A 20,290-nucleotide genomic window follows, 5' to 3' on the forward strand; every position below is an offset into this window, starting at 1 on the left:
GTTGGCCTGTCTTGCTAGGTTGGGAAAGTTCTCCTGGATAATATCCTGAAGTGTGTCTTCCATTCTCCCTGTCACTTTCAGGAACTCCAATCAATCATAGGTTTGATCTTTTCACATAGTACTATATTTCTTGGAGGCTTTGTTTATTCCTTTTCGTTCCTTTTTCTCTAATCATGTCTTCATGCCTTATTTCAGTAAGTTGATCTTCAGTCTCTGATATCCTTTCTTCTGCTTGATCGATTCGGCTATTGATACTTGTGTATGCTTCACAAAGTTCTCATGCCATGTTTTTCAGCTCCATCAGGTCATTAATGTTCCTCTCTAAAGTGGTTATTCTACTTAGCAGTTCCTTTTACCAAGGTTCTTAGCTTCCTTGCATTGGTTAGGACATGATCCTTTAGCTCTGAGGAGTTTGTTATTACCCACCTTCTGAAGCCTGCTTCTGTCAATTCATCAATCTCATTCTCTGTCCAGTTTTGTGCCCTTGCTGGACAGGAGTTGCAATCATTTGAAGGACAAGAGGCATTCTGATTTTTGGAATTTTCAGCATTTTTGCACTGGTTTTTCCTCATCTTTCTAGATTTATCTACCTTTGATCTTTGAGACTGATGACCTTTTGATGGGGTTTTTGTGTGGGGGTCCTTTATGTTGATGTTGATGTTGTTGCTTTCTGTTTGTTAGTTTTTCTTCTAACAGTCAGGCCCCTCTTCTGCAGGTCTGCTGCAGTTTGCTAGAGGTCCACTCCAGACCCTGTTTGCCTGGGTATCACCAGTGGAGGCTGCAGAACAGCAAAGATAGCTGCCTGCTCCTTCCTCTGGAAGCTTTGTCCCACAGCCTGATGCCGGCTGTAGCTCTTCTGTATGAGGTGTCTGTCAACCCCTGTTGGGAGGTCTCTCTCAGTCAGTAGGCACGGGGATCAGGGACCCACTTGAGGAGGCAGTCTGTCCCCTAGCAGAGCTGGTGCACTATGCTGGGAGAATCCCTCTCATCAGGATCAGCTGCTCTCCTCAGAGCTGGCAGGCAGGAACGATTAAATCTGCTGAAGCTGCACCCACAGCCACCCGTTCCCTCAGGTGCTCTGTCCTAGGGAGATGGAGGTTTTGTCTGTAAGCCCCTGACTGGGGCTGTTACCTTTCCCCTGAGATGCCCTACCTAGTGAGGAGGAATCTAGAGAAGCAGTCTGGCCACAGCTGCTTTGCTGCAACCAGCCCAGACTTCCCAGCCTCCTTAGCACTGTCAGGGGAAAACCGCCTACTAAAGCCTCAGTGATGGCAGATGCCCCTCCCCACAGCAAGCTCAGTTGTCCCAGGTCGACCTCAGACTGCTGTGCTGGGAGCGAGAATTTCAAGCCAGTGGTTCTTAGCCTGCTGGGCTCCGTGGGAGTGGGACCCACTGAGCGAGACCACATGGCTCCCTGGCTTCAGCCCCCTTTCCAGAGCAGTGGACAGTTCTGTCTTGCTGGGGTTCCAGATGCCACTGGGATAGGAAAAACAAACTCCTGCAGCTAGCTTGGCGTCTGCCCAAACAGCCACTTGTGTTTTCTGCTTGAAATCCCAGGCCCTGTTGGTGTAGGCACACGAAGGAATCTCCTGATCTGCAGATTATACAAACCATGGGAAAAGTGTAGTAACCTGTCCCAGGTAGCACAGTCCCTCATGGCTTCCCTTGGCTTGAGGAGGGAGGTCCCCCAGCTCCTTGCACTTCCTGGGCAAAGTGACACCCCACCCTGCTTCTGCTCGCCTTCTGTGGGTTGGACCCACTGCCTAACCAGTCCCAGTGAGATGAACTGGGTACCTCAGTTGGAAATGCAGAAATCACCTGCCTTCTGCGTTGGTCTTTCTGGGAGCTGCAGACTGGAGCTGTTCCTATTGGGCCATCTTGGCCCCCTTCAGAAACCTGTATTTAAGAATACTTGTCAGAGTCTTTTCCATGAATTTCCATATAGAAGCAAATTTTGGTCTACAGCTGATTATGAACCTCTTTTTGAGAAGAATCAAAAAGTAAAACAATAATTGTCTGTGGATGGCAACAGTCTTAGATCAGCCATGGTTAAAGACACAATTGGCAAGAAAATTTGATTACTTCTGTAACAGAAAAAAATTTAACATAATAATTATAATTATTACTAATAACATACATTAAGACATCAGAATTATATGTATCTCATACAATTTTGGAAGACATATTAATAACACCCATAAAATATAATCCAAGGAAAGGCAAACACTGTTTCATATTTGACAAGGCTTTCTCTAGGATTTTAACATACCAAATAAACCCAATACGTCTCTCTTGGACTTTCAGGGACATTAATATCTAAAAGGTTAGTTTAAGGTCAAAAAGACTAAATTTAGAACTTGAAGCTTTGATTTTGAAAAGTTTGTCTAATATCAAAGGTTCAAAACACTTGATATCATAAAATAGGATGACAGATTACTGTAAACTAAGTCATTCACTTAGCCAAAGTGATAATTCACAAATTTACACTTCCCATTGCCCACCCCTCATGCCTTCCACCCTGAGATTTAACAATAGTGATGGTGGCAGGAGGCAGACAGGTACCTAGGTGGGAAGGGGTGGGTCCCTGGTGAGGCCCAACCTTCAAACCAGGGATGGCCTGAAGCCTGGAGGCCAAGCTGCCAGTTCCAGGTGGAGTCCCTGACTGGGAGTAAGAATTTCCTTGATGCCTTTCAGCCAGTTGATGGTGACTGGTTTTTTGGACCTACCCTTGAACCAATCAGCATGCACTTCCTCCCACTCATGGACCAATCAGCATGCACTTCCTCCATTCTGCACCTATAATAACCCCTAGACTCAGCAGGACTCAGACACACATTGGGATTACCTTCCTGCAGGTAGGAGCTACCCACTTTGGGTCTCCTCTCTGCTGAGAGCTGTTCTGTTGCTCAATAAAGCTCTTCTCCATCCTCACCCTCCAGTTGCCTGAGTAACCTCATTCTTCCTGGACTTGCGATAACAACTCAGGACCTGCGAACAGAGTGCACAAAAAGGGCTGTAACACTTTCCTGGCCAGCTCACTGAGCTGCAGGTCGTGATATGCTTCCCTGTTCACCAAACTGTGGGAGTGAAGAGTGGTGACCCTTCTGGGGACGCAGACCTCAGAATTCCCAAGCCAGAGCTGTAACACTATAGCCCTCCCGCCCTCCACCAGTGCTGGGCGGCTGCCAGATGTGACAGGAAGCAGTGGCGGGGCAGGCCAGCCCAGGAGCTGTGGGCTGGAGTTGGGGTGATGGGATTGAACAAGCCGTAACACAAATGGGCTGAAACACATTGCCTCCCACCGCTGTTTGCCATGCTGTCGCGCTGCGGGTGGTGGGAATGAGAGAGCTGTAACATGCACCCCCAACCCGTAGAGGATCTGCAGTTGCTGGCATCTCCAGGTTTTCAGGAGCCACCACATTCCCTTCATCCAGATGCTGGCAACTGCAGGAGAAGCCGCTTGTAGTATGCCTGCTCCAGCCGCAGCCTTGCATGGAGCCAGTGCCTATGCCGGTGCCTGGAGCCGTCCGCCCTGCTGCGGCAGTTGGCGTGCCTGGCTGTGTGCAGGGGCCACACTCCGCACTTGCTCACTCACACACCCTTCGCCTTTCTGCATCTGGCTTGCCCTCGGCAGGCATGGGATCTGGGCTGGTAGTGCAAGCTGGGCACAGCCTGCCAGGCTGAATGGGTGGAATGAACCCAGTGGGCGTGAGCAATATTCAAGTAGAGGCGCTGCCGGCCATGAGGTTTCTAGCTGGTGAAGCGACACCCAGAGGATCCTGTGACAATAGGATTTCTGAAATCTGCATTGGCTTGTGTACAATTTGGGCACTGTATGAGTCAATTGGGGGAAACAGTTTTTGAACAGGAGCTGCAGGGAATTAGAAAAATCTAAGGCAGACTGACAGAAAAGTCTTCAAAGGGAGACAAAAACAGGCTTTTCCTACTGATGAAATGGGACCTACTGTCGATGACTGCTACAGAGTTACTCTAGAAGAATTCAGAGGAAGATGTGAGGAGTTCACTCTGGAGCCACAGTGGCCGGTAGAGGCTGGAAAGAAGAGAGAAAGGAACTTACTGTCATTGCAATGACAATGACAATAAGATCTGAGCAAGAAGGACAGTAGGGAGAAGCTGGGAACAAAGACAGGAGGGCTTGGGATGTGCTTAAAGGAGAACACTTGGTTTATTTTCCCTGGGTTGGAGGGCTTAGGTATATTTTTGTCTTATAAGGTCCACAGTTAGATTTTCTTAAGGCACAGGGGAGCCATTGAGGGTTAGGGAGCTGGAGAGTGGTGTGATGAAAGGTATGTTTGCATAGCTTCTATAAGTAAATGTTTCTTTCCACTGGTTTCAGTGACAAGGCACCAGCTCTCCCGATACTGTGGTTCCCGCAGGAGTCCCCTATGCCTATGTAGGCACCACCCACTGTGACAGGAGATGCCCTTCCTGCCCACAGTGTCTGCCTGCATTTTGAGACTTTCTGCTTCCCCAGGGTGAGTGAGGAAGCTGGCAACAAGCCTCACTCAACGAGAGGAAACTTGAGGCCAGCTGGGCACTTGAGGGAAGGAGACCAGCAGTGGAACACAAGTCGGGGTCCCAGGATCCCTGGGCTTTACCTGACACTTCCACATTCCAACTGTGGGGTCCATAAGCAAGCCCTGCACCTTCTCAGTCTCAAGATCCACTGACAGCCATGCCATCCTCTCCCTGTCACCAAAGCAGTCTGGCCTTCCAGCTGGCCTCCAGATGCAAAGGCAGAGTCTGATGGAGACTTGGTGTCCTGAGAACTCCAGAATGGGCTGTCAGTGCTCTAATTTTTCAGGTATGTCTATTCCCATAATTTGAAAACAGTGATAACAATAATAATACCATCTATGGGGCACTTTCTACATGCAAGGCACTCCACTAAGCCCGTTAAGAATGCTATTTCAATCCTTATGATACACGTATGGTGTAGGAACCGTGATGCCACTTTTGTGGCTGAGGAAGCTGAGAGTAATAAAAGTTAATGGACTTGTCCAAAAGAATTCTTCTAACTCTAGAATTCAAACCCTCAATTCATGTGGCAGTAATTCTAAAGGGTCACCCATTGCATTTGCATGTCAGCCCCATCCTGTGAAAGTACAGATTCCCAAGGCTTCCCTGCAGACAGACTGAATTGGCCTGTCTCGGGCTGGGGCCTGAGAGAGCCTGCACTTTTAGCCACTGCACCACCACTTTCCACCTCCCCTACACTGCCGGGACAGATCGTATTTTCCCAAGATGGACACATCTATACATTTATTCCATGCCACCTGCTCTTCTTGCAATGTGATTAACCTTCCTCTTCCTGAAAGGTGGGGTCTAGTTTCCCTCCCCATCAATCTGGATGGAAGCTTGTGGCTTCTCCAAGCAGTGAAGTGTGGTGGGAGTGATTCTAGGTGACTTCTAAGGTTAGCTCAAGAGGATACAGCTTCTGCCTGGTGTTTCCTCCCTCTTTCCCTCAATTTCTCTCTCCCTCCCTCCCTCCCATTTCTTATTTTTTAATGTATTAATTTAACTTTTATTGAAGTATCGTATATGTGTATTACATGTAATAGTATACACACACACACAGAAAAACGTGCAAATGTCATAAGGGTACATCTTGATAAATTTTCTTTTCTTTTCCTTTTTTTTTTTTTTTTTTTTTTTTTTGAGACAGAGTTTTGCTCTTGTTGCCCAGGCTGGAGTGCACTGGTGCGTTCTTGGCTCATTGCAACCTCTGCCTCCTGGGTTCAAGCGATCCTCTTGCCTCAGCCTCCTGAGTAACTGGGATTACAGGTGCCTGCCACCACACCTGGCTAATTTTTTTGTATTTTTAGTAGAGATGTGGCTTTACCATATTGGCCAGGCTGGTCTCAAACTCCTGACTTCAGGTAATCCACCCACCTTGGCCTCCCAAAGTGCTGCAATTACAGGCATGAGCCACTGCGCCTGGCCCTTGAAAAATTTTCACAACCTCAACTCACTTGTGTAACCAGCACCAAATCAAGAAATATACAAAAAAGCCAGCATCGCAAACTCAACAACAACAAAAAACCTGATTCGAAAATGAGCGAAGGACTTTTGTAGACCTTTCTCCAAAGAAGGTATACAAATGGCCAATAAGCATTTGAAAAGATGCTCTGCATCACTAATCATTAGGGAAATGCAAATCAAAACTATAGCAAGATACCACTTCACACTCATTAGGATGGCTACTTTAAAAAAAAAAAGCGTGCGCACGCACACACACACACACACAGAAAATAACACATCTTGTGAGGATATGGAGAAATTGGAACCTTTGTGCACTGTTTGTGGGAATGTAAAATGGCATAGCTGTGGAGGAAAGCAGTATAGTGGTTCCTTAAAACATTAAAAATAGAATTACCATATAAGCTAGTAATTATACTTCTGGGTATATACTCAAAAGAATTGAAAGCAGGGTTTCAAAGAGATATTTGTACACTTTTGTTCATAGCAATAGCTAAAACATGGAAAAATCGAATTATCCATCAGTGGATGAATGGATAAGCAAAATGTGGTGTATCTATACAATGGGATATTACTCACCTTAGAAATTCTGTAATATGCTATGCTAAAACTTGAAGATATTATGCTAAGTGAAATAAGCCAGTCACAAAAAGAAAAATACCATATGATTCCACTTATATGGAATCTACGTACTTAGTCAAAATAAAGACAAAAAGTAGAATGCTGGTTGTTAGGGACTGAGGGAAGAAGGGAATGGAGAGTTAATGTGGCTGGCACAGGAGCCCACCATCAGGAGCTCTGGGTTCTGGGAACTGCTCTGCTCAGACTGTTTGAGACTTCAAGACCCTTCCACAATCTGGACCTAGTTCCTTTAGGGGAATGCAGCCTGTTTCAGAATATGCAGTATTGCACAGAATCACCTGGGTTATGGCCCCTTCATGGCGTCTCTACAAAAATATCTATATATATAAAAATCACTCAAGCATGGTGGTGCACCTCTGTGGTCCCAGCTACTCAGGAGGCTGAGGTGGGAGGATAGCTTGAGCCAAGGAAGTCGAGGCTGCACTGAGCCAAAATCGCATCACTACACTCCAGCGTGGTTAACAGAGTGAGACCCTGTCTCAAAAAAAATAAAAATAAAAATAAATCACTATTGCAATCACAGTTTTGTAGATGGCAGCATAGGGCATGACTCATCCCTGTGTGCTCAGGGTCTCAGGAGCTCCAAACCCCAAGGAAGTGCAGCCATTCTGCTAAATCACTCCAGGAATCAACCCCTGGGCGTCTTCTGAAGCACATGTCTACACCGGGGAAGAAAACCTCCTCCATAACACTAAATGCTGAAGGTAACATGAGAAGGACTTGGATAAATTTATTGCACTTCAACTACTGGAGAGCTATTTAGGCAGCACAGCTGCCATGGGCTGCAGCCTACCCGTGCCCCACAGCTTAGCCAAAAGAACCTGGCATCAAGAATAAATGTCATGTAGCAAAGGAGCCTCTATGGAGTTGGACATCACAATTTCCAGTCATGCTTTCTGCCCTCACTATGGGGAGGGCAAAGAACTTGTGAGCTAGATTGAAAGCTCCATCCTTGGTAGGAAACTGGAAGGCCAGGTTAGAGTGTGGGTCCCGATTTCCCAGAACTGAGCTGGTGTTTCCAAGGGACCTCCCTCATCCCTGGGCAACAGGACAGCTGGTCAGCATAGTGGCTATAGGTGCTTGGGTGAGAGAGGTGGCAAGTGGTTAGGAGGTGGCTGCTAGAAGAATGAAGGATTGGGGCAGACAGCTAGCTGCTCATCACAATAATCTGAGGGCTTTAAAACTGCTGATATTCACTCAGCCCCACAAAACAGTAGCAAGAGCTGGGGAAGTGAGGTCCAAGAGGCAGTAACTTTGATGAAACTACCAATGAGTCTCATGTGCAGCCAGGATGACAGCACATGGTAAGAACAGCAACAGTGGCTATCAACACCAGTGGTCGTCAGCACCAGTGACTGTCAGCACCAGTGACCATCAGCACCAGTGGCCATCAGCACCAGTGATCATCAGCACCAGTGGCCATCAGCACCAGTGATCATCAGCACCAGTGGCCATCAGCACCATGGCCATCAGCACCAGTGGGTCATCAGTACCATGGCCATCAGCACCAGTGGCCCGCATGGGAGGGGTTCTCACATGGGGCTTCTGCCTGGCTACCTGGTGAGATTCTCCAGGGCTGAGTGTTTTCAGAGGACCTAGTTGTTACGGATCATCCTGCATCTGCCCTTCCTGGCACATTAATGATCACAGTCAGCATGCAGCACAAAGCCAGGTGAAGCTTTCCGGTAAGGAGGGTCGCAGGCAGCCAGTGGCTCCACCTTCGTGTGCAGACACCACGTGTTCTCAATGATCAACACACAGTCACTAGGGACATGAACACATTGTGGCATAAACCGTGTCCGGGTGTGAATGTCCACAGACTCCAATGTCCCTGTATACACTCAGGTGCACAGCCCCTTCCAGCTCCAAGTGGCAGGTGCCAGGAATCTCAGGTAAAAATGTGGGCCTTTGGTGCTGAGCTGAAGCAGGAATTCTCCACTGTTCTGGGTGTCCTAGACCAGAAGTAAAGGGAGACTTCCACCTTACACCAGTGCGCCTTGCATATGGCAACTGCTCTTCAAGGGACAACTGAGTGAAGGACTCAGAGCCCCAGTTGGAACTCAGAGGGCACCCAGGGCCTCGACCCTCCTCCCTGACAACCTCACCCCCAGCTCAGTCCTTGGCATCCCGCCAAGGTGCCTCCATGATACCTTGGACTTCTAGGAGCAAGAGTGAAATGGGATTCAGTGAGTTTTATTCTGGGACCTTCCTGACCTTCTGGAGGGTCTCCGTGGAGAAGTGACTCCTAATATCTTTGAATTCTAAGATAGTCATTTTTGAGAGCTAGGTAAGTACTATGACCTCTCCTTACAGAAAGATGAATACGCTTTCAGGAACTCAGTGGTCTCTATGGAGCCCATCTGTGGGTCTCACATCAAGAAACTTCCAGAGACAGATCTGACTCTGAAGACTGCAGGGCACTGCAAGAACTCGATGGGTACCTGAGGCCAGAAACTGGCAGAGCTCGCGGAGGAAGCCACCAGCCCCTGGCCCGGCCTCCCTCTTGGCTGTTCCTCCCCCGGGCCCTACCGGGCTGTGCGTTTGATAGGCAGCTGGAAGACCCAGGTGGGCGGTTCAATCGGTCACGTGGACACGCAGCTCAGCCAATTAGAATCTCGCGGCAGTTGATTCCTAGAGGTGGAATCCATTAAACTGACAAAGCCCCAGTCCCGGGGTCCTAATAGTCGGGACTATTAGGTCATCCTGGGTACTCAGGCCTCTAGACTCTAGACTGAGCTGCCTTGGTCACTCGGGGACAGTTGGCAGAGTATTCGTGGTCAGGGAGGTGACCCGTGGTCAGCAGGATCAGGCCACCCAGGGACAAAGGGTGCTTCTGCGCCAGGCCCTGGAGAAGGACAGAGCGGTGGGGACTCGGGGTCGGCCGCAGATAGGGGAGTCACCACCTGCCGGGTAAGAGGGGATTCATCACAGGGGCCGAGGCAGGACGAGCGCCTCCTCCCAGCTCAGGCCGGGTCCCAGGCTGGACTCCTCCCTGTCCCCCAGGGCCGGCCTCCTTCAGAGCTGGCTCGGGACAAGCCTGGGATGGAAAGGGGAAGTAGAAAGAGCTCAGGGCACAGGGATTGGGGCCGATCCTGGGGTCTGAGCTGTGGGGTGAGGAGGGGATCGCCTGTCCCCTGGGGAGTGACGATGTCACCCAGCCGTGGCCGATGCTGGAGGTCATGATCTGAACCTTGACAGGTAACCCCAGGGCTGCCTTCCTGTTCTTCCCCTGGGCTGTCAGGGGACACCCTGCTCTGTTTTGTTTTTAAGTGACCAGAGACAGACACGTAACATAGAAAACGCTATCACTTTGATCATTTGTTTCAAATGGAAGAAAAACCGACACAAGTGGGTTTCTGGTGGGAAGCGCTTCCCTCCAACTCCAGGAACTCCATCAAGGAGTTAAGAAAGCACAGAGTCCTGTCAGCAGCCAGAGACATGCTGGGCAGTGGTGACCTCGGAGCCACCCCGCGACATGGAGATCTCGAGCTCCGCCCTCCGTGCAGGGAGATTCCTTTTGGAAAAAATCTCTGGCAGAGTGGGAGGGTGTAGGGGCCAGCCACATACATGCTTGCTGCTAGGACCCCTTAGCCATGGGCAGGGTGGGCACAGTGACCAGGGCCAGGAAACTTACAGGCCCACCAAAGAGTGTCAATTTCAGTCAGAAGAAAAAAAATTGAACTATATGATATTAATATATTTATCATTATACCAGTAACTCATAAAATAAAACTTCAAACTTTTTTTATTTTTTGAGACAGAGTCTTGCTGTGTTGCCAGGCTGGAGTGCAGTGGCTCCATCTCGGCTAACTGCAACCTCCTCCTCCCAGGTTCAAGCCATTCTTCTGCCTCAGCCTCCCGAGTAGCTGGGACTACAGCCACCCACCACCACGCCTGGCTACTTCTTTGTATTTTAGTAGAAACAGGGTTTCACCGTGTTGGTCAAGATGGTCTCGATCTCCTGACCTCGTAACCTGCCCGCCTTGGCCTCCCGAAGTGCTGGGATTACAGGTGTGAGCCACCGCACCCAGCAAACTTCAAACTTTTTAATGGAACAAGGACACACAGACATTAATCCCCAGTGTCCATCAAAGTTGCAATGCAGCCCTAACGCCTGGCATCCTTGAAAGGGACGGGCATTTAGTAATGAGATATGCACAGCAGCATAGTCAGCTGTGTGGTGCATTCTCAGCTGTGCCTCAGCAGCCCTGATGCAGACATCCAGAAGGAGCACAGCCACTTTATCCAGAGGTGAAGTTTTGCAGCAAGACAGCATTCATAGGGGGAGTTCTCAACAAATGTCAGTCCCCAAAAAGGGAACTGGCTTTATTATGGTCCTTAGGATATTCACTCGTAGAGAACAGGACCTGACAGACAAAGCAAAGAACGAATACTAAGATTAGAAGTATTTGGCACATTTGGGATGAGAAGGAGGCACAATGGGAAAGTGTTGAGTTGAAATCAAACTTGGGTTAAATGTGTTCAGTTTTGCCCAGGATCATTCTTGGCCACAGGACTCAGTTTGCTGAGCAGGTACACAACACACAAGGATACAAGCAGCCATTGCACACAGACACACCCACATCAGACACAACCTGCTCCCCTCTCCTCCCTGCACCAACAGGCGCATGTGGCAGGGGTCCTGGTGGAGCTCTTCCAGGAGAAGTGTCTGGGGACCCTCATGGGAAGGGAACTCCGTGTCAAGGCACCCCCTTTCCTCAGCCACAGTGAGCTCTTGGGAGCTGGGCAATGGTGTGGGAGAGGTTGTGGGGGGTAGCAAAGCAGGGGAACCAGCCTGGAATTGTCTCAGAGAAAGACCAGGCCACTAAGAGTGCAGATGGAGACATGAGACATCCGAGGGAGGGAGGAGAGGGGACCCCCTCGTGAAATTGGGGCTCACGTAAACCTGCATCAAGCACTGTGGCAGTGTTCAATCAGAAATGCTGCCCAGTACCCAGGTGGGGCACATACATGCTCAACACGTGAAAAATATCTGTTCTGATTTGTGCTTCAGAAGAAGAGTTAATGTCTCCTTCATCTTTCTCTCTAGCAATCAGCCATGACTGCCTTTGCACTGTCCATGCTCTCAGCCCACCACCTCCTCCCCCTGCCATTGCAGTGGCTAACACTGGAGACGAAGACCAAGACACCACCGCCTTTCTCCAGTACCACTCAAATCAGCACAGGCAAGGACAAAGGCCTCAATCCACAACTGCTGAAGATGGACCCTGGCCACATGGGATGGTCAGACACGCCTGCCCAGCTATCTGCAGGCGAAGAGGCTCAGAAGAGGTTTAGGGGCCTGAAGGACATCTTGCTTCCATGTCCATATGAGCAGGCTATTTCTGCTCCATGAGTCAATTTTGCCATATAAAATACTTAATTTCAGCCATTCCAGGGTGCTGTAGGATGCACAGCTTCCCATCAGCCCACCTGAACTCCAGCCATGCCATTTTAATACCAGGAATAAGGTCACCTGCTTTCCTGCCCCTTAGGAGGCCAGAGCCGTGGAAGCAAAATGGCACTTCTGTTTACCTGTTATATTATTTTTTTGTCATCCTTATATGCTTGGAAAATGCAATTATATGAAAAAAGTTTAGTAATTACAGACATAACAGCAGAAAGTCCTCGGAACCAAGCTTACTCTCATGGCCGATTCTGCTCCACCTGGGACTCTGCTGTGCTGCGGGCATCCTGTGGTCAGAATCGCAGAGGGGCCATCAGGGAGGGCCTTCCCAGAGGATGGACCTCACGTGACTGCTGCGTGGGCAAGTGGCACTGGCCACTCTGCCTGGAGAGAGGAGTAAATGCAGGGCTGGCCAGGCGACCTGCACACTCTGCTACTGGCCTTGTCCATCTTTAGCCTCTAATTTGAAAATGAGGCTCACACAGACCAAGAGTATCTTTGAGGGTTAGTACAGACCACAGAAATGCCCTGGGCCTTTCACTCTCTCCTTTTGCAAATTCCCATGTGTGGAAATGCCGTTTGGATAATGAGGGAGCCTGAAGGAGGTGGACACATGAGCAGCCCCGACAGGCCTGGCTCCATCCTCTGAAAATGGGGCCCCGTGCCCGGCGTGTGGCCTTACTGGTTCAGTCTTCTTTACAGTGGTAGGTTTTGAGTGCCCAGATGCCCAGTGCCTCCTACCTGGAACAGCACAGGATCTGGCAGACCCCTGGAAGAATCACATGCACACTTAAATATTCAGGGAGTTCCCACCCAGCAGAGCTCGCCTCTGTGGCTACCTTGGTCTTGCTGCTGATATCTGCCAGAAAAGGCCTGGACTTGGAGACAAGCCTGGGATTTACACTCAGTCCTTCCCCATCTGGCTGGTTCCATTTCCTTGGCTCTCACTGCTGGAAGTCTGTGCTCCTGAACATCAAGTCAGAGGGGGCATCTGAATGCAGGGCAGGGAGCCTCAGATGGGAAGAAGTCAGAGGAACCAGAATGTGTCAGAAAATGCCAAGTCATGTGCCTGAGCTCAAAAGTCAGCTGGGCCACAGGCTGGCTGTGTGATCTTGGGCAAGTTCAACCAGCTTCTTTATACCTCTTTTCTTGCCTCAAAATGATAAGAGAAACCACTTCACTAATACACTGAGGGCTGCTATTAAGTTCTATGTACAAAGACCCATGGCAGGCCCTATGCCCTTCGGTGAGCACTACTCCTCCTTACAATTTACTGCCAGGAACACTGGGCAAGAGAACTTCAGTGGAGCAGGGATTGGCTGAGCATGAGCCAGGGTTGGGGGAAGTAAATAATGGGCTGTTGCCAGGGCCTGAGCCCAACAGAGAAAGGCTGTGTGCAGAGGGAGGGCCTCAGGTCCTGGGGCTCCTCCTGGCCTCTTTCGTCCCGACTACTTCACACCCTCCTCTAACAACGACTCCCACCTCCTTTTCCAGCTCTCCTTGATCCTGCTCAGGGTGGCGCCTGCTGTCCCTGGTCCCTTGGTCCCCACCTGCCTCAGTGCCCCCCAGTCACATCTGCTGTTTCTGCCATGGGTCAGCAGACAGGGTAGGGGTGACTGGTGGTGCAGAAGAAACCATCTGAGAGGGGGACCCCAACACGGACAGGGCACAGACGGGGCTTCCACCAATCTCAGTGGATGAAGATTCTGTCCCTGCCATCCCCGCATTCTCTCCCTGGTCTCAGAGGCCCTCCTGGGTCTCCAGTTGTCCTCTCTCCCACCTCCACACTTTCTTGTTCCAGTCCTGCTCTTGGATTTCTTTAATAATTTTCCTACCTCCAAGATCCCCTGATGATCAGTTTCTGCCTGGGGTCACCAGGCGACTGACCATGGTGGGGATGGTGACTTGAGACTCCTGGACCACAGTGCAGGTGACATATGCAACCTACAGAGTGAAAAGGAACAGTGTCACTGCTGGGTCATTTTGAAGATGAGGCTTAGGTAATGGATTAAAGACTTAAATGTTAGACCTAAAACCATAAAAACCCTAGAAGAAAACCTAGGCAATACCATTCAGGCCATAGGCATGGGCGAGGACTTCATGACTAAAACACCAAAAGCAATGGCAACAAAAGCCAAAATTGACAAATGGCATCTAATTAAACTAAAGAGCTTCTGCACAGCAAAAGAAACTACCATCAGAATGAACAGGCAACCTACAGAATGGGAGAAAATTTTTGCAATCTACCCATCTGACAAAGGGCTAATATCCAGAATCTGCAAAGAACTTAAACAAATTTACAAGAAAAAATCAAACAACTCCATCAATAAGTGGGCAAAGGATATGAACAGACACTTCTCGAAAGAAGACATTTATGCAACCAAAAGACACATGAAAGAATGTTCATCATCACTGGCCATCAGAGAAATGCAAATCAAAACCACCATGAGATACTATCTCACACCAGTTAGAATGGCAATCATTAAAAAGTCAGGAAACAACAGGTGCTGGAAAGGATATGGAGAAATAGGAACACTTTTACACTGTTGGTGGGACTGTAAACTAGTTCAACCATTGTGGAAGACAGTGTGGCGATTCCTCAAGGATCTAGAACTAGAAATACCATTTGATCCAGCGATCCCATTACTGGGTATATACCCAAAGGATTATAAATCATGCTGCTATAAAGACACATGCACACGTAAGTTTATTTTGGCACTACTCACAATAGCAAAGACTTGGAACCAACCCAAATGTCCGTCAATGATAGACTGGATTAAGAAAATGTGGCACATGTACACCATAGAATACTATGCAGCCATAAAAAGAATGAGTTCATGTCCTTTGTAGGGACATGGATGAAGCTGGAAACTATCATTCTGAGCAAACTATCACAAGGACAGAAAACCAAACACCACATGTTCTCACTCATAGGTGGGAATTGAACAATGGGAACACTTGGACACAGGGTGGGGAACATCACACACTGGGGCCTGTCATGGGGTGAGGGGAGGGGGGAGGGATAGCATTAGGAGATATACCTAATGTAAATGACGAGTTAATGGGTGCAGCACACCAACATGGCACATGTATACATATGTAACAAACCTGCACGTTGTGCACATGTACCCGAGAACTTAAAGTAAAATAATTAAAAAAAAAAAAAAAGATGAGGCTCAGGCAACACATGTCCCTTAAATCCAGTCTATGAGGGCACCACAAAGTCCTTATTCTTTGCAAATTCTAGCAGAGAGGTTGTACTAGTTTTGGAGAGAGGCCTCAAAAGCAAGATCCTGTTTCTTGACACAGCTTACCCTGGTGAAGCTCCCTGGCCAAGCACAAACTCCCAGGTCAAGCACAAACAGCCTTCACCAATGGCACCATCAGCCCTCAAAGAGGAGGTGGCACTAACACTGTAAGTGGGCAGCTGCTATGGTCTTCTGCTGCCTGGAGAGTTTTGCCTCCATCACTGCTGACCACCTGGGGAATTCCCAGGAACTACTCTTCAAAGGTACACTCGGATGCCCCCTCTGCAAAGACATTTTGTTCCCTTACTGTACCTCTGAAATCATTTGTTATCCAAGCATTTGCAAATCCACCTGTCTTCTGTGTGTGGCTTTCTGTGTGGCATATCTATGGACATTGAGGGTGAAAAACAAGAGGAAGACTCTGTTCCTTTTCTTAGGGAGCTCACAGTTCACTGGATAAGACAGAAGGAAGCCATTGACTCTGAAAGGGAACAGGATGTGGCAAAGATGGGGCAGAGGGGTGAGCACAGAGGGGATCAAGAGAAGGGGGAGAAAGACCATTGTCATCAGTGCAGCCTTTCTGGGGAGCAATGTGTGAGCTGAGCTTTGAAAAAGAAATGAGGTTTTAAAAGAGTGTGGGAGGAGAGCCCTCCTGAGATGTATGGAGAGACCAGTGCCCCTCGTCCCTGCCACTCCCGCTCCTGCAGCTGTTCCCTTCTTCCCTCTGTCCCAGCTCAGCACAGTCACAACTCTCCAAATCATGACACTCAAAATGCCACATCTAAAAAGAACATCATGGCTGGGTGCAGTGGCTCACACCTGTAATCCCAGTACTTTAGGAGGCCAAAGTGGGTGAATCACCTGAGGTCAGGAGTTTGAGACCAGCTTGACTAACATGGTGAAACCCTGTCTCTACTAAAAAAAAAAAAAAAAGTTAGCCGGGCATGGTGGTGCATACCTGTAATCCCAGCTACTTTGGAGGCTGAGGCAGGAGAATCACTTGAACCTGGTGGGAGGAGGTTGCAGTGAGCCGAGATCATACCACTGCACTCCAGCCTGGGTGACAGAGCAAGGCTCCGTCAAAAAAAAAAAAAAAATCCGAGTTCTGGGTGGGTGCCTCTGCTTCTTCTGACTTGACCGCCCCCTTCCCTGCTCTCTTTGTGTCTCATGTAGTTGTTTCCACTCACTCAACCTCCATACTCCCTGGACAGCACATGAAAAAAATTGCAACTCTGAATCCCCATCTGCTTGTGTGTGATTCGTATCCTCTGTGAGTCAACAAGGTGAATATATTCCTCATTTGGTTGCGGGATTTTTTAAAACGTCTCAAACAGTCTCTGCCCCCTGAGAAAGTAAATTCATTCACCTACAAAGAGAAAGGAAAGGGACAGCCATCCACCAATTGACTCCTGAGATTCCCTCTGCATCCTTCAACACTTATTGGGACTTACATGAAACAATATGACAACTTTTTATTTCTATCAAACTACAGCTTTCTTCCTTGTATCTGAAGAAGTTGGCACCCTCTACACAGAATAGGAGAGCACAATTTCAACAGTTATTGCATACATCACTGACCATTCTTACTACTCCTCAAAATTCATTGCAGGTCCACCAAATGTTCTGTTTGTTGAAGATTAAATTATAAAATTAAATTTCAGCAATATGCATATATAATTAATGAACCCAGAGAAAAGATCAAAATGGTGAGCATATAATATAAATGTGTACATATTACAAAGAAAAAATATGGAAAGCTACTATCATACTTACTTGTTTTTCTAATCTGTCATGAGGCCATTTTTTTTTTTTAAGACAAGGTTTCACTCTATCATCCAGGCTAGAGTGGAGTGGCCCCATCATGGCTCACTCCAGCCTGGGTTTCCTGGGCTCAACTGATCCTCCCACCTTAGTATCCAGAGAAGCTGGGACTCACAGCATACATAAAAATTAATTTCAAAATGGATCAAAGACCTAAATATAAGAACTAAACTATAAAACTTTTTGAAAAAAACATAGGGGTAAATGTTTGTAACTTTGGATCAGAAAAATAATTTTTTAAATATGACACCAAAAGTAAAAGTGGCCGAGCATGGTGGCTCATACCTGTAATCCCAGCACTTTGGGAGGCCAAAGCGGGAGGATCTCTTGATCCCAGGAATTTGAAACGAGTCTAGGCAACATAAAGAGACCCCATCTGTACAAAACAAAATTTAAAAATTACCTGGGTATGGTGGCATGTGCTTGTAGGTCTACTCTAGCTACTCAGGAGGCTGAGGCAGGAGGATCACTTAAGCCAAGGAGTTTGAGGCCTAATTTGAGGCCGAAGTAAGCCATGATTGTACCATCATGCTCCAGCCTGGGTGGCAGAGTGAGACCCCTGTCTCAAAAAAAAAAGTACAAGTGACAAAAACAGAATTGGAGTTCATCAAATTAAAAACTTATGACTTCTAAGACCACCACCAAGAAACTAAAAAGACAACCCATAAGATGGGAGAAAAACTTGGCAACTTGTCTATCTGTTAAGGGACTTGTATCAGAATACATAGGGAACCCTTAACAACTCAACAAAAGGCAAGTAACCCAAGTGAAAAAATGAGTAAAGGATTTGCACAGACATTTCTCCAAGATGATACACAAATTGCCAATAATCACATAATTAGATGCTCAACACCATTAGTCACTAGGGAAAGGCAATCAAAAGCAGAATGAGATGCCACTTTATACCCCCTAGAATGGTTATGATAAAATCTACAGACGAGAAGAACGAGTGTTGGTGAGGAAGGAGAAATGAAACCCTCATACACTGCTAGTGGGAGTGTGAAATGGTACAGTCATTTTAGAAAACAGGTTGGTGACCAGGTGTGGTGGCTCACATCTGTAATCCCAGCACTTTGGAAGGCCAAGGTGGACAGATTGCCTGAGCTCAGGAGTTTGAGACCAGCCTGGGCAATATGGTGACACCCCCATCTCTACAAAAAAATAATAAAAAATTACCTGGGTGTGGTGGCTTGCGCCTGTAGTCCTAGCAACCTGAGGGGCTGAGACTGGAGGATTGCTTGAGCCCAGGAGGTCAAGGCTGCAGTGAGTCATGTTCGTGCCACTGCACTCCAGCCTGGGTGACAGAGTGAGACCTTGTCTCAAAACAACAACAATAAAACCATAAAATAGGTTGGAAATTCCCCTAAACAATTAAACAGAGTTACACTTTGACCCAAAAATTATAGGCCAGGTGTGGTGGCTCATGCCTGTAATCCCAGCACTTTGGGAGGCCGAGGCAGGTAGATCACCTGAGGTCAGGAGTTCGAAACCAGCCTGGCCAACATGGTGAAACCCCGTCTCTACCAAAAATATAAAAAATTAGCCAGGTGTGGTGGCTTGTGCCTGTAATCCCAGCTACTCGGGAGGCTGAGCAGGAGAATCGCTTGAACCCAGGAGGAAAATGTTGCAGTGAGCTGAGATCACGCCATTGCACTCCAGCCTGGGCAACAAGAGTGAAACTCTGTCTCAAAAATAAATAAATAAATAAATAAATGAAATTATACTCTTAGATATATATACAGAAATGAAAACATGTCTATGCAAAACTTTACACAGGTGTTCATAGCAGCTTTATTCATAGTAAACAAAAGTGGAAACAGTTCAAATGTCCACCAGCTGATGAATGGCTAAATGTAATACCTGCATACAAGGGAATATTTTTCAGCAAAAAAAGTTATAGGCCAGGCAGGGCAGCTCATGCCTGTAATACCAACATTTTGACAGGCTAAGAGGATGATGTCACCTGTTGCCGGAGAGAGTGTCCTAAATGTGAGTTGTCCAGCCAGGATGTGGCCTGTATGCTGCACCTGCTGTTCTTGGTGTATTGGGCAAGGAACTGAACAAAATGCCAGTGTGGGCACAGATTTATTGAAGAAAATTCAGAGTGGGATTGGGCTTGAGCAAGCGGCTGCTCAAGAGCCCCCTCAATTACGGTTTTTATTAAAGAAAAAACCCGGCAACACCTCTCAGTGCCCTTCAGAGGCCTCCAATTGACCACACCTCATAAAGGATTGGCCTGAGACCAATCGGAGGCTGAAGTGGCTTGTTATCATGGGAGCAAGGATGTGGCCTATATGCTGCACCTGCTGTTCTTCTGCTCATTTGAACTGGCTGCACCTGCTGTTCTTCCACCCCTGCGGCACTGGCTGCACCAGCTGAAACCCTGGTTACCCTAATTCCCTATTCTCCTGCCTCATTTCCCTCTGAGAGATATGATCCCCATAAATCTTTATGGGAGGCAAAAGGGCTGAAGATCAGTTTTCTGTAGCTACTTTCTACTGGTCATGGGCATTGTCCCTGCCTACTGAGGATCATGGCTCTCTATTCCTAAGTATTTAGGTGGGTATCCATGGGTTGCGGCAAGCCTTGTACGTGGTTATAAAAGGTACAGCTGGCTTGATCTAGTCACAACAGGTAAGTATTTTGGCCTGATTTTGAATTTTGTTCCAAAATTGGCTGAAACCCTTATACAAACATCTGTAAGTGAGAGAGCAAAAATCAGTTAACATTTTACACCAGGGAAAATTGGTAGGCATTTACTTATCTTTTGACTGTCTTTTAAATAGGTAGTTCAGGTCTTCTACGGGTTCACAGGTATAGTGGCTGGTGGGAGTCTCCGGTTCCAGGTCCAGGGCTTCAGATGTTGCAGGCTTAAACCTGGAAAGAGGTATCCAACTATCTAATCCTAGTACTTTGGCCATGGAAGGCATGGCCAACACCAGTGAAAATAGTCCCTTCCATTAGGGTTGTAGTTGTTGAGCAGGTGACTCCTCATTCCATGTTTTAACAAGTACCTTATCTCCTGGCCTGACCTTGGTTTGCTGGTTAGTTCCTGGTGCGGGGAGCCTTTGAGTTCCAAACTCTTGCGAGACCTGCTGAAACTGTCCTAGGTTAACTAGGTATTTTATTAACTCAGCCGTTTCTGGATCAGTAATTAGATCATTAGTTAAAA

General features: G+C 47.7%; 2 long non-coding RNA genes across 3 annotated transcripts; one reads left to right on the plus strand and one right to left on the minus strand.

Moving 5' to 3' along the window:
* Positions 1-1,804: 1,804 nt before the first annotated feature.
* Positions 1,805-18,326, minus strand: LOC107985411 (uncharacterized). Of its 2 annotated transcripts, none has more exons than XR_001754485.1 (3): positions 18,295-18,326; positions 2,846-2,988; positions 1,805-2,084 (listed from the first exon to the last, which is right to left on the minus strand). It is a non-coding gene; the product is annotated as an uncharacterized LOC107985411 (long non-coding RNA). The 2 variants fall into 2 exon arrangements; XR_001754484.1 differs by lacking the exon at positions 18,295-18,326 and adding an exon at positions 9,084-9,256.
* LOC643406 (uncharacterized) lies at positions 9,255-15,193 on the plus strand. The gene is made up of 2 exons (NR_029405.1): positions 9,255-9,552; positions 11,693-15,193. It is a non-coding gene; the product is annotated as an uncharacterized LOC643406 (long non-coding RNA).
* Positions 18,327-20,290: the final 1,964 nt, after the last annotated feature.

Source organism: Homo sapiens, chromosome 20, assembly GCF_000001405.40.
Source record: "Homo sapiens chromosome 20, GRCh38.p14 Primary Assembly".
Lineage (NCBI taxonomy): Eukaryota > Metazoa > Chordata > Mammalia > Primates > Hominidae > Homo > Homo sapiens.